Source organism: Homo sapiens, chromosome X (assembly GCF_000001405.40).
Source record: "Homo sapiens chromosome X, GRCh38.p14 Primary Assembly".
NCBI classification, from domain to species: Eukaryota; Metazoa; Chordata; class Mammalia; order Primates; family Hominidae; genus Homo; species Homo sapiens.
In genome coordinates this window covers 132,662,509-132,675,036 of record NC_000023.11, presented here as the reverse complement: position 1 = coordinate 132,675,036, position 12,528 = coordinate 132,662,509, and the positions used below count along the sequence as shown (strand labels likewise).

Here is a 12,528-nt window from a genome sequence, read left to right as displayed (position 1 = left end):
GTGACTTTCATTTAGGGTTTATTCTCATTCCCCAAACATAGTCAATCCCCAAGTTCTGTCATATTTTCTTTTGCCATGCCAGGCATAGTTATTTTCCACCCCTATAACTGCCATTCCAGCCCAGCCTCTCATTATATTTCAGATCTCAATTACCCCAAACCATCCAATTCCATAACTATGGTTTCTGCTCCTCAATCCCTGATGTGATGGAGAAGCCCAGAGTTAGATGCGAACGCAACAGTTTTATAATACCACTTACAATTGTTAGATACCGTTCTATTGGCCTCTGATAGTTTGTAACTACGGTCCATACTGTTGGTAAAGACACATGGGATTAGTCAGCTTAAATGAGAAAATAATATAATTTAGAAACTGACTCATGTTCTTTCTTGATCCCAATGAGGCATTCAGGGACGTGACTGTCACTCTCTGGGCAAAAACAACATGTACCAAGAGGTGAAGAGAGCAAAATAGCAACAAAAATAAATGAGCCCATTGCTGCAGTCCCTGATGCCCTGTGGTGAGCTGCTAGAGTGAAAAGTTAATGGAATGGGAGAGGGCAAGATAATGTGAGCGCCCTGGTTGCCTTTTCCAAGAGCTTTTCAATTCCAGAGTAACTGTGAGCTTCATTGTGAATGGTTTACCTGATCAGTATAATTCCCTCTCCTTTGTAGATAAGAAGACTAAGACAGCAAGAAGTTAAATGCCTTGCTGGCAGCCAGGATTAGAACCTGGGATTCCTGAATAAATGCTTTGAACTTATGAGGCTGCTTCTGAGAGATCATAGTTACACTGGGCTTCATAGCAATAAAAATGAGCTTTTCCCTTCCCTCAGAAATCCTGTTATTATCCATAGTTAGGCAAAGGGAAACTAGAAGAGGATGCTAAATAAAAGCACATCTCAATGAACTGAACTATCTTTGCCAGGTGATTATCAGAAATATAGATAATGAGCGTAAGATACTTAAAGGGGCAAGGACTCTAATTTAGACACCTCGGGCAAAAGAAGTGAAAAAGTTTGGAACAAAGAAAACCACTCAGGACATAACCTAACAAGATAGAAAAAAATGAAATGCGAAAGTATTATCAGCTTTAATTAAAGGAAATCAATATTTGAAGAGGTGTCTTGCTCAACAATAGAACAAGGGCAAACATACTTCAGAAATGTGAGTCTCTTAGAAAAGAGAAAAGCAAGTTTTCATGGGGAAACAACCACGATTGAAAAACCTTTCAAAAGATGACGACTTGGTGTATCTGTTGGAGAGGGGCCTGAAGCACCTGTTGGGGAGGCCGACTAGATGAGCTTTTATCCCTGGGAGAGTCTGTTTTAAGTGCATTTTTTCAGTCAGGGAGTGTTCAGGAGCCTAGAGGCATCTCTAGGGAGTAAAGAATAGCCAGTATTTCCCTCAGAGAGACTTGAAACAAACCCTCAACAATAAAGTGGGTTTCATCTCAGTTATCACTTACAAGAACACACATTGGAAAACATTAAGGACTATACAAATGCAACAGATGTGTTATTTCAGAGGCACTCTGCAACCATCCAAGCAAGCTTGCTTGAGAATCCTTTCTAAGCTCACGTTTTTTGTGATGCACATGATGACCAACCTTCAGTGACTGGAGTCCAATTCTCCCAGACCATTCCTCTTCAGGGATGGAAGATATGTGACATGTGTCACCACTTCCTTCTCTCAAACTGGTGCAAGACATTAATACTCAATCATGACACTTCTTTCCATTGAGCCCAAATGCAGCTTTTTCATTTATTTGTTCAATGAATACCTCTTGACTGCCCATTTAAAAGTGAGTTGGAGAGACAGATAAATAATAAAATATAAGCAACACTACGAGCACCACATGCTAAGTGCCTAGTAAAAGATATGTAGACAATAAATATCATAGCCAAACCTGTTCTCTTGAAATACAATTTCAATTTCCTGGGACCCTGAAAATTAATTCTTAAAATTTCAGTACTATTGTAGTTGTATCAGCACAACTATTTTTCAGGGATCTGAGATGAATTAATTCCGAAAAGAGCTTACAAAGGAGATGCAGAAGTTTCTATATGCCACCCATCAAAAAAGTGAGTCAGGTGTGTTTTAAGCCACAGGGTTCTTCTCCCACAATTAGCTTTGACCAAACAGCAAAACTCAGATTGGAGTGGGTCTGATTGCCATTTTGGTTTAAGTACACTGGATACCATTTCAGCATCAAATCATTCAATCAGAAACACTGAAAATGCTGAAGAGTTGGGTTAGTTGCAATTTTCCCACCTGAATAGAATGTGCATAATACTGCAAATTGTTTTTTCACTTTTGTAGTGCTGGAGACATTTATGGAACCTGTGGGAAAGGGTTTTCTTGACAGATGGAGATGGACAGCCAACCAGACAGAAGGAGAGCTAGCACTCATTAACTTTTCCCAACAGAAACTCACCTGTAATTGTTTTCACAGGCCTTTAATGAGGCTTGGTTGTGAGGCACTAGAGAGAGGAAAGCAGCTTATCCATAGAAAAGGATAGCTACTCAGGTGAGGTAGAGGAAGCCTGGATCCATAGCCTTGGAAATTGTAGGACATAAGGTTTGAGATTACAATTCAAAGACAAGATGAAAGTGATGAGGGCTGACAAGTAGTCTAGAGATGGGCAAATCAAAAGAATAACTACTGGGGTAGATCTGTTTCGGTTATGTAAGTTAGGAACTCTAAATCAAGGAGCACCCACCCCCCCCCACCAATCTCATATATCCAAAATTATATCTATGTGTCTTTGAAACAGGTTGGATTTATTCTTGTAAATCCCTGGGATTGCGGGATGTTTCAGTGACCAGAGTTCTTGGCAGGATCTTAATCTTTAGGTCTTTGCCCCAAAGATCTTTGAAGTTCCCAGACAGTCTGCAGCTGCAGTATTTTCTCTTTATTTTTCATGGGACCCTTCTAGAAACTGCAGTGTCCTTGATATCACTGCTTTAGATCTCCTTCTCTCTCAAAGTTTCAGAATTATGGCATCTTGCCCAGGCTTATCTAACTGACCTGGATTTTGGTGGAGGAATGAAGACTTTTTCTGTCAATGTTAGGTAAACTTTTCTATACCACAGTCATTAGTACATCTACAAAATTAAGCTCCGAGGATCCAAGCCAGCCACAAGTTCTTCTTGATCCCCCTTTCAGATACATTTCATCACTGTTAATGGATCTGTTATTTGCACAGAACAAACATTTCCAGTTACTTGATTAATTTTACCCCTATTCTTGGTGCAATGCCTTCCCTGTGTGATTTATTCCTGAGAATGTTTTTGTTTTCATTTCCCCAATATCTGTACTTGGGGGATTTGGCAGTAGGTTAGAGGGGCCCTTATTCCTATCTTTTAAAGGATTACTGCTCCAGGACCACCTCCCGCTAGAGCACCAGTTGACAATAATGAGGCTGCCGCTGCCAGCTGATAGCTTTCCCTGATGTCCTACTGTGTCCTGCATTGAGCTTAAACAGGGTCAATTATAATGTAAACTATAGAGGACCCTAGTGCCCAAGGCGCAGACATGGGAATTTAGCAGTGGGGGATTTTGCTTTATCAAAAAAAAAAAAAAAAAAAGTGAATGAATGAACTTAGTGACTCAGCACTTAGTGATTTAGTGATGACTTAAATGACCACCTACTCTGAGCCCAGTAGTGTGCATGAGACACATCAAAAACATCCCTTGTATCTGAATGCTTCCAGCCAAGTTTCCCACTGCCTACTGCTTAAGTGAGGGGCTAGGAGGAGGAAGGCTCAGTGGCCAGTGACCAGGGTGCAAGAGTGACACAGAGCATATTAGCATATTGCATTCTTTGCATCAGGCTATGCCAAACTTCTGGAAGAGACAATTTTGAATTTGTGAGGAGGATAGCCAGGATGGTCCCTGGTCTCAGGTCCCTAAGGAATCCTTTGCCAGGAAGTCATCGAGGACGGATAGAGGCAGCACCAAATGAATTCTTCAGTCCCCACTCAGAATGTGGCCACATTCTGGTGAGTCTGTGAGTGGTACGGGGTAATGGTCCCTGCACTGTGCAGGAATCCCAGCACTTCATTCCAGTGGATTTCTGCCCCCTCCTCTGGGATAGAATGTGTGTCCACTCTCTCCAGAGCCATCCACTCCAGCAGCAGAGCCAGAGCTCACATGGGTATCTCCCACTTCTAAGAGCTGCTTTTCATACCCCCTAGACGTTTTTTGTTTTGTTTTATTCTTGAGACGGAGTCTCGCACTGTTGCCCGGGCTGGAGTGCAATCGCACAATTTTGGCTCACTGCAACCTCCACCTCCCGGGTTCAAGCTATTCTCCTGCCTCAGCCTCCCAAGTAGCTGGGATTACAGACGCCCGCCACCATGCCCTGGGTAATTTTTTATTTTTTATTTTTGTATTTTTAGTAGAGATGGGGTTTTGCTATGTTGGCCAGGCTGGTCTCGAACTCCTGACCTCGTGATCCGCCTGACTTGGCCTCCCAAAGTGCTGGGATTACAGGCATGAGCCACCGCGCCCAGCCTAGACACTGACTCTTAAGTGCTTGGACAGTTGCTATCTCTCTGACTTTTCCTGATCAGCCTTTTTCCATGCCCACACACATCTTTATTACCTTTGCAATCACCAGGAACCCATCATTATCTCTTGTTCCAATCATATCCATGAAGTCATTTGAAGCTGATGGGTGCATGGCAGAATATCTTTTGTGACCCCCAGCCCACCCCACATATAAATACAGCTACTTGCAGACATCTATTTTGGAGATACTTAAAAGGTTCATAAATATCTGAAAAGATGTTTGACATTTTCTGAGACAATATTCTTTGCCACTGGAAGGTTCTATTATACACATTAAAAGCAAAGATACATATTTTTCTTTCTTACCTTCACTTTTTATAAAAGGTTATGCTGACGTAGAACTTACTAACAAAAAAAAAAAAATCTTCCTGATGAAATCAGGATAAATAATTCCACACATCTTCAAGTGGAGAGAAAGGCTTTGAATTGGTTTCCATGGAAATCTGAAGATGAAGTAAAGGAATAATTTCAAGGCAGAGCAGCTGAACTGAAGATAATGGTAAAATAGTTTGATAAAGGAAATAGAATAAAGTAATCAAGAAGACTCCAATCAATTATTCCTTTTTGTTTACCTTTAGGTGATTAATTCGTCTGCGTTTATTAACCTGATGAGATTAAGCAGGCCTTCCTTGTGATTTATTTCGTAATTGTTTCCAAGGTTTGACATAAGCTGTGGAGTTATTGAAGGTGGAGATTTAAATTCAATTACTATGAAGCAGGTGGTGATTCTCCTGAAAGAATATCTGAATTCACGGACTTCCCATGTAACATTATGAGTGAAAATTATTAATTCATCTGATAGTATCTCCCAAAGACTTTTAGAAGTCATTTGGCATCCACATACTTCACCAAAAGTCAGCAGCTTCAGAACTGAACATGTAATGAAGAGAATTCAGTGCCTGGAAAGAAAGGATTTTATTTTAAAGACTAGTTATTTTTATACTTTTTTTTTTAAAACTAGAGGCCCCCTTGGGGCCTGGGCTGTGGTGCTATCATTGATGGAATCCATGAGCTCAAGCTTTGAATGCCAAAAGGATAGCTTTCTTTGAACTTGACCAGTGGTTCCCACTCTCTACCTTTAAAGGGCACAACTGGATAAGATCATACTTTGACAGGAGAGAGAGAGAGAGAGAGAGATTGGCCAGGGGGTGGTGGGGGGATATGCAGGCTGGCCTTGAGAGTCTTTAAATGAAGTGACTAATTGCTTTTTGTCTCTGTGGTCCTTGTTGTGTATATGTTTTCTATTCTTTCTGTGGGTATAGTAAGGATAAACGGGGTTCTCCAAACACTAACGCAGGCGCCAACTCTCCGTCATCCACAAAGACCCGGAACACATCTAAGAGTGGGAAGTAAGTGAAAAAGTGCTCCTGTACATCTGACATAGCTGTCAAAAAGTCAAGTGCTGTCCTCCTTTTGTCATTTATTCATATTCATTCAACAAAGATTTGTGGAATGTCTTCTGTGTGCCTCCCACTGGGCTCGTCACTGGGGAATTGAAACGAGCAAGGCATGTGTCAGTAATATTGGGTGCATGAAGAACTAGGGAAGAGGGAGGAGAGGGATGGAAAAGTCAGGAGATGACTCTGGAAAGATAGCTTAGGGCTGACTGTGAAGGGCAAGGACATAAGTCCATAAGGGCAATGTAAGAGTTGGATTACAAGTTTTAAGAATTAAAGCAGCAGCAGCAGCAGCACTGATTTATGACTTACAAAGTCCATGAAAACCTGTCCTGATCCATACACTGAGTTTAGGCTTGAGTTAGAAGAATCTGGTAAGCTTTTCCATAAATTTCCTGGTTTAAGTACATTTATGTTTTAACCATATCACTGATTTATATGATATGTATATTCTTTTCCTAGTAACTAATATGCACCAAGTCCTACATGAAGCTGTTTTTTTGGTATTACCAAAACTTGTATGGGCTGAATATTTGCGATATTAGATTGACCTTTTCTGGGCTTATTCCAGAAGACAACACCAGCCGATCTCTCCCTTTGGCTTCAGCAAAGTGTGGCAAACTCAGGCAGTGTGATCCCACGCAGATGACATACCTCTAATTAGACACTTCCCCTTGGAAGTTGCTTCAACCCTGTGGTGAATGGCTCGAGTTCTCCGTAAGCTCTCTCTCCAGGGTGTGGGGCATTGTGACACGCAGAAACTCAGTCCAGAAAGAGCACCCAGCCTGCATCTAGGAGAAAATGAAAGATACCTTCATCATGCTAAAAGCTCTAATCTAGCAATAAGATATGTCACTACAAGAGCACAGCTTTGCAATGAAAGGTGAATTTGTAATGGTCATATATTTTATGTATTCAGCATTGGACCGTAAATGCTGCACTTTGAATATGATCTTATATTCAATTCCCAAAGTGAAAGATCTACTGGCTGCCTTTTTTTCCTTCTTTTCCTCTGAATACCATTTCAGGTTTGCATATAAAGTTGAATGCGGGTTATCTTGCAAAATATAAAAAACGGTGTTAAAGACATAAAACTAAATCTCCAAGCAGTTAGAACTCATTTCAGTTATTTATTGCTGAGCACCATAATCAAAATGCTGTATAAATTATGAAGGAAGGGAATTGATGCACACATTCCCAGGCAGCTGAATGTTTTCAAATTAGTCCCAATTCATTGTTAACACGCACTCTTAGTTAACAGGGATGGCATTGCAGAACTTCTTTTAACTCCATGCTTACAACAATGGCAGACCCTACCTGGGCACCCTGTACCTACCTGTCACACCAAAAACCACAGGGCACAATCTCCATTTATTAGTCCCTGATGTATAATTATGGATGTTTGTGATTTGCTGTTGCCTTTCCAAAGGGGCCTTCCCTTGTTTCTTTTGGCTTTGCAGGAGTTCACTGTCTTACTTTTTGAGTGAAGAATCTCCATTTGAGCTACAAAAGGAGCAATTGGTAGAATCTGAGTTAAGATGACATAGAGAATGCATACCTAATACCATACCCAGGTTTTCAACAGTGGGAGGGCTGAATAAATACATTCTTAAGGAGATAAAAAATGATCTATATCTCACTTGCCATACTTGGTCACATCCCAAGCTTCTGCCATGGTGAAGGGTCTCTCTCTTTGCACATTTTGAGATAGGTAACTTTTACTTGACATGTATAGTGACTCATAGACTGAGCTAGTTCTGAATTCTTCATTGTTTTTATTGGTTGTTAGTGAAAAATTACAAGTTCTCCGACATCCTCTTCCTAGATATGTGTGCCAGGGTTTCTTGCACTGTTCTCCTCCTCTTAGTCCTCTCCCATCAGTTTTCAGGAGATTTTTCTTTTTTTCCATTAGTGTACATTTTCTCCTTCTTGGGATATCATTTTCAACAGGAGCAGTACTGACCTTCTGTGCATATGGTGAGACTATGAAGGGCATTTTTCACACTTTATAGAACAGTGCCTATGGATGTTTAGGCACTGTGTTCTAGTTCAGAGAGAGTTGTGATTGCCAGTTCCTGCTGCACTGTCTATGCATTTCCTTAGCTTTGGTGTGTGTGGTGGTGAGGAGGGGATAGGTAGATGTCTCCACCCCAAGGCTTTTCCCCATGGTGTATTTTCTTTCACAACAACCAGCCCAGAGGATGCCATGTTCTGATGTTATTTGACCTAATGACAATAGGATATAGAGCAGTTTTTAAGAATTTCCCTATGTTATTTTGAGGCCAGACACAGGCTGGGAGATAGAAGGAGGGTTCTTTCCTTCTCTGAAAAGAAATTCAGTCTTCTCTGTTTTTGAAGAAAACAAAAAAGCAAAAGTCAAGCTGCCCCAAATATGCATCATGGCTAAAAATAAGGAATATGTGTTGACTGAGTGTTACGGGCCAACCTGTGTCCCAAGCACTTGGTACATTTTGTCTCATTAATCCTTGCCTACCAAAAGCTCATGAAACAGGCACTATTATTTCTATTGCACACATGAGGAAATTGAGGCTCCAAGAGGATAATGATATGCCCACCTGAGGTATCCAAATGAACAATTTTGGTAAAAAACCTTCTTTGGCACCAATGATAATAATAGTAGTAGTAATTAAAATATATTAAGCATTTACTTTGTGCCATTGCACTAGACTCTGGGGCCATATAAATATAAAATACTATAGGTGCCCCCAAGCAGTTCACAGTCTTAGTAGGGAGGACAGAGGATGACAACGTGGTATTTAAGTGCTACAATCCCTAGCTGATGCCAGGGTTGGGGTGGGAAATAGGTCATATGGGGATATCAATAAAGGCTCCTGAGAAGCAATCCCTGAGCTCTTTAATTTTATCCATTTACCCTTCATGTAGCAAGGTTAGGTCAGAGAAAGAAAATGCAAGTCGGTCACTCCAGAGGGGCAGAATCCTCTGTGTCTTGGTCAGAACACGTTGGAGTTGTGGATTAGGTCAAAGCTAAAATGAAATGTCTAATTCCACCTTTTTCCAACTTTCAATCCATTTGGAGCCTACTGAGATTCAGTGTAGCATGCTGAGTCGCTTAGGAAACCTACAGCTTGAATGTTGCGTCAGTTCTGGTTGCTCTATTTCATTGCCTGGATGTGAAGCTGGGTAGCCAGCCCTCTGTTTCAGGGAGGAACAGATGGAATGGGATATGTCTGAGCAGCAGAGCCAGACTACCCTGGAAATGACTTTCAGGGAGGTGCAAGCAGTTTCTTCTATGCCAACAGTGAGCCAAATTGACAAGACAGAAAAAAAAAAAACTTCAGTGCAGAACTGTGTCACTGAGATCAGGAAGCATAGGTTTTGCAGAGGTTGACCCATGACCAATCAGGCCAGACCACTGCATTTAGCCTCACATATGGTTCCCTTTGGTAATGTGAACCTGTTATTCTGGCCAACACAGCAGAACACAGTCAATCCATTTGCTGACCCATTGGATTATCCCCAGAAAGCAAGTAACTGTCAAAGCTGGGCATGTGTAGTAGCCACCAAGAGCCTTTATAATGTTCATTTGGTATTGGAACATTTTCATACTTTACATGAGACCAATTATTTTGCTGAACACAAGGACACTGAGACTCAAGAAAGGTAAGTCACTTTCCATGAGGCACACACCTAGCTACTAGCAGAGGGCAGCCTAGACACCTGGTCTTCTCATACTTGTCCCATGATCTTTCCACTGCAATGTATGCTACAGTTCTTCTCCCAGAGAGCAAGATACTTCAGCTAATTGCACCAAGGGAGGCCAGGAGCCAGATCTCAGGATGTCCAGCCAGGTGCTCTTCCCTCTTTTTGTGTGGGCTCTGCCAGCTACTGTGAAAATGGAGACTTTTTGGAAAAATTAGAATCATCCTACTTTTAAAAAAATGTAGCAGTAGCGGTGATGAAAGGAAAAAGCATGTACTTCTCAACTGCTTCATTTTTTCTTCTAAAATAATGGTATCTCTGGTTCTATTTGGACAGCTACCTTTCCTCAACAGTATTGTTGAGCCATCTCAAGCCTCTAATCTACTCCATCAATGAAGCAATAGAGAACTCATATATCACTATAGCTATTCTCTCTCGAATCAGCCAACCAAAGCTAAGGAGATGTAGATTAGATAGGTAGATAGACAAACAGACACACATATATCTACATCTACGTATGACATTCAGAGGCATCCACTTAAAAATTAAATTGCCCAAAGTTGAGATGATGATGGAACTCGATCACTCCTCTCAGTCTGAGATGTTTTTCACATAGGCTCAGGCTAGGGAATAACAAGGACCAAGTCCAGTTTTCAAGTACTAGTGAAGGCCACAAATATGGGGCCAGGGCAGAGCAACCAAGCACAGTGCCTGGCAAACAATACTATAAATGTTGAATTAAGCACTATAAGTGATGGGTTAAATGAATTAAGCTAGGGGAAGGAGGGATATTAAAATGGAGAAAAAGAAGGTGTACAGAAGGGGAATATGAGATGATCAAGTCAAACCCTGCTTACTCCACAAATCTACTTGGAGCTGACTCTGGTAAGACCGGCTCTAACCTGCCTTTGCCGGAAGTACCTTATAGTGAACAAACCTGTTTATCTATTCAGTAGTATCCAGATAAGAGTAGTCAAGAGCACATAGCTTCATAAATAAACATACCAGCACCCCTTTGCTTTTGGCTGGCAGGAGTCAAATGAAAAACTTTTCAGCTTTAGAAAAATAAAGTGAAGGCTGGGCGTGGTGGCTCACACCTGTAATCCCAGCACTTTGGGAGGCCGAGGTGGGCGGACCATGAGGTCAGGAGATCAAGACCACCCTGTCTAACACAGTGAAACCCCATCTCTACAAAAATACAAAAAATTAGCTGGGCATGGTGGCACACGCCTGTAGTCCCAGCTACTCGGGAGGCTGAGGCAGGTGAATCATTTGAACCCAGGAGGCAGAGGTTGCAGTGAGCTGAGATTGCACCACTGCATTCTAGCCTGGGTGACAGAGTGAGACTCCGTCTCAAAAAAAAGAAAAGAAAAAAATGAAAGATAAAATGAAGTCTTGCTTGCTCTGTTTGGACTCAGCATGGTGCATTTTCATGTTTGACTTCAGCTGTTTCTATGTCCATTGCTGGCACCAGAGTCCTGCATATTATATCGTGATTATGTTTTTTCCTCTAATTGAGACCCATGTATTTTTTCTAAGACATTGGGTTGTGACTGTTGCTAACCCCCACTAATTTTGCCACTGTGTGTGTATGAAAGTATGTGTGTGTATGAAAGTATGTGTGTGTGAGTGTTCTCTTCAAAATGGTTGTATGTTGCATGAAGATAGCAATCCACTGGCCAAGTATTTGACTTTGCCAGTAATTGCTGTAGTTTTATGTGATGATAATGTCAATAGTTCCTTAGTTTAGCTACTAGACTAAGTCTAATATCACAAAAGCTTGTGACAAATGAAAGCATTAATATTACTGCTTATTTTTTCTTTTACTTTCTTTTTTCTTTTTTGCAATTGCACCTTTGTAGAAAAAGACGAATGACAAAAGCATAAACTGATGTCAGAATGTATTCCTAAAGATGGCTTTTAGTGGAGTGTGCTCAAGGATGAATTCATTTATAGCCTAACTACCTTTTCCTTCAGTAGTCCCCCATCCAGAATAGTGTGAGATCTTTGATCACAACAAAAAATTCCAGTTTATCCCAGAAAGTGCATTTATTAATAAGGCAGGAAAGTAGCCTAAGCTATTTGAAAAGGACTTTCAATAACCGGGGATAAATAACATAGGCTGGACATGCTTTGATATTTAACCTAGTGCTAGTCAGCTGTGGCAAAGGGCTGTTTAAAGATATCTTTAAATAAATTAGGCAGCCTTTTGTGTATTTGAAAGAACATCAGCTTTGGAGTTAAATAGACCTGTATTTGAGTCCTGACTCTATCATTCATTAACTTTGTACCTACCTCATTGGGCTGTTGGTGAGGATTAAATGTCATAAACTAAGTAAGGCTCTCATAGTGCCTGGCTCGTGACAAGCCCTCAATAAATGTCAACTAGTGATTATGCTTGTTTCAGCTGCCAACGTATTGCAGTGGGGGACAGTGTGACCTGGCCAGTATGATTCTGATGAGCTCTGTTTGGCTCAGTTTTTCTGGTTGTCTGCTTTTGCCAGTTACTGAAATGTGGAAGCAAAAGCCCCAGCACCATAATAACAATATAACATAATAACATAACATAAACAGTGCCCATAGATTAGATGCTACAAGAAATGAGTAACAGATCCAGGAAGAAAGAGTCCAGCCATGGAAATGTTTCTTAGCAAGTTCACCTGCATCTCTGTGATGGTTAGGATATACAGTACACTTCGTGACATAATAAATCCACCCCCCCAACCCAACATATATGACTTTCCATGCTGGTCATGCTTCTATAGCTTAGTCAAGAAGAGTGTTCTGTTAATCAAGCCTTGAAAAGCAGGAACCATTTTTCTCTCCCTTCAACTGCCATACAAAAATCAGGGAGGCAATGTGCTGCTGCTCTCTA

General features: G+C 41.1%; 1 protein-coding gene and 1 long non-coding RNA gene across 10 annotated transcripts in view, besides 3 other annotated features; one reads left to right on the top strand and one right to left on the bottom strand.

Annotated features, from left to right (window-relative positions):
* The window catches only part of HS6ST2 (heparan sulfate 6-O-sulfotransferase 2), a 335,356-nt gene that overhangs the window by 286,334 nt on the left and 36,494 nt on the right, over positions 1-12,528 (top strand). For 4 of the 9 annotated variants that reach the window (NM_001077188.2, NM_001394073.1, XM_017029945.2 and 1 more), the window contains one exon: positions 5,838-5,924. The exons of the other annotated variants lie outside the window; for them this stretch is intronic. In NM_001077188.2, the coding sequence (NP_001070656.1) occupies positions 5,838-5,924 (87 nt within the window). The remainder of the gene's footprint in view (positions 1-5,837; positions 5,925-12,528) is intronic. 9 annotated transcript variants of the gene reach the window in all.
* Positions 2,867-3,430: an enhancer, noted in NCBI's record as "OCT4-NANOG hESC enhancer chrX:131805635-131806198 (GRCh37/hg19 assembly coordinates)". NCBI's record gives its function as "activates a minimal SCP1, AML or CMV promoter by ChIP-STARR-seq in naive and primed H9 embryonic stem cells {active_cell/tissue: H9 hESC(naive and primed)}" and the evidence as "EXISTENCE:reporter gene assay evidence [ECO:0000049][PMID:30033119]".
* Positions 3,431-3,992: an enhancer, noted in NCBI's record as "OCT4-NANOG-H3K27ac hESC enhancer chrX:131805073-131805634 (GRCh37/hg19 assembly coordinates)". NCBI's record gives its function as "activates a minimal SCP1, AML or CMV promoter by ChIP-STARR-seq in naive and primed H9 embryonic stem cells {active_cell/tissue: H9 hESC(naive and primed)}" and the evidence as "EXISTENCE:reporter gene assay evidence [ECO:0000049][PMID:30033119]".
* Positions 3,993-4,556: an enhancer, noted in NCBI's record as "H3K27ac hESC enhancer chrX:131804509-131805072 (GRCh37/hg19 assembly coordinates)". NCBI's record gives its function as "activates a minimal SCP1, AML or CMV promoter by ChIP-STARR-seq in naive and primed H9 embryonic stem cells {active_cell/tissue: H9 hESC(naive and primed)}" and the evidence as "EXISTENCE:reporter gene assay evidence [ECO:0000049][PMID:30033119]".
* Positions 5,149-7,395, bottom strand: HS6ST2-AS1 (HS6ST2 antisense RNA 1). The gene is made up of 3 exons (NR_046691.1): positions 7,309-7,395; positions 6,627-6,763; positions 5,149-5,474 (listed from the first exon to the last, which is right to left on the bottom strand). It is a non-coding gene; the product is annotated as an HS6ST2 antisense RNA 1 (long non-coding RNA).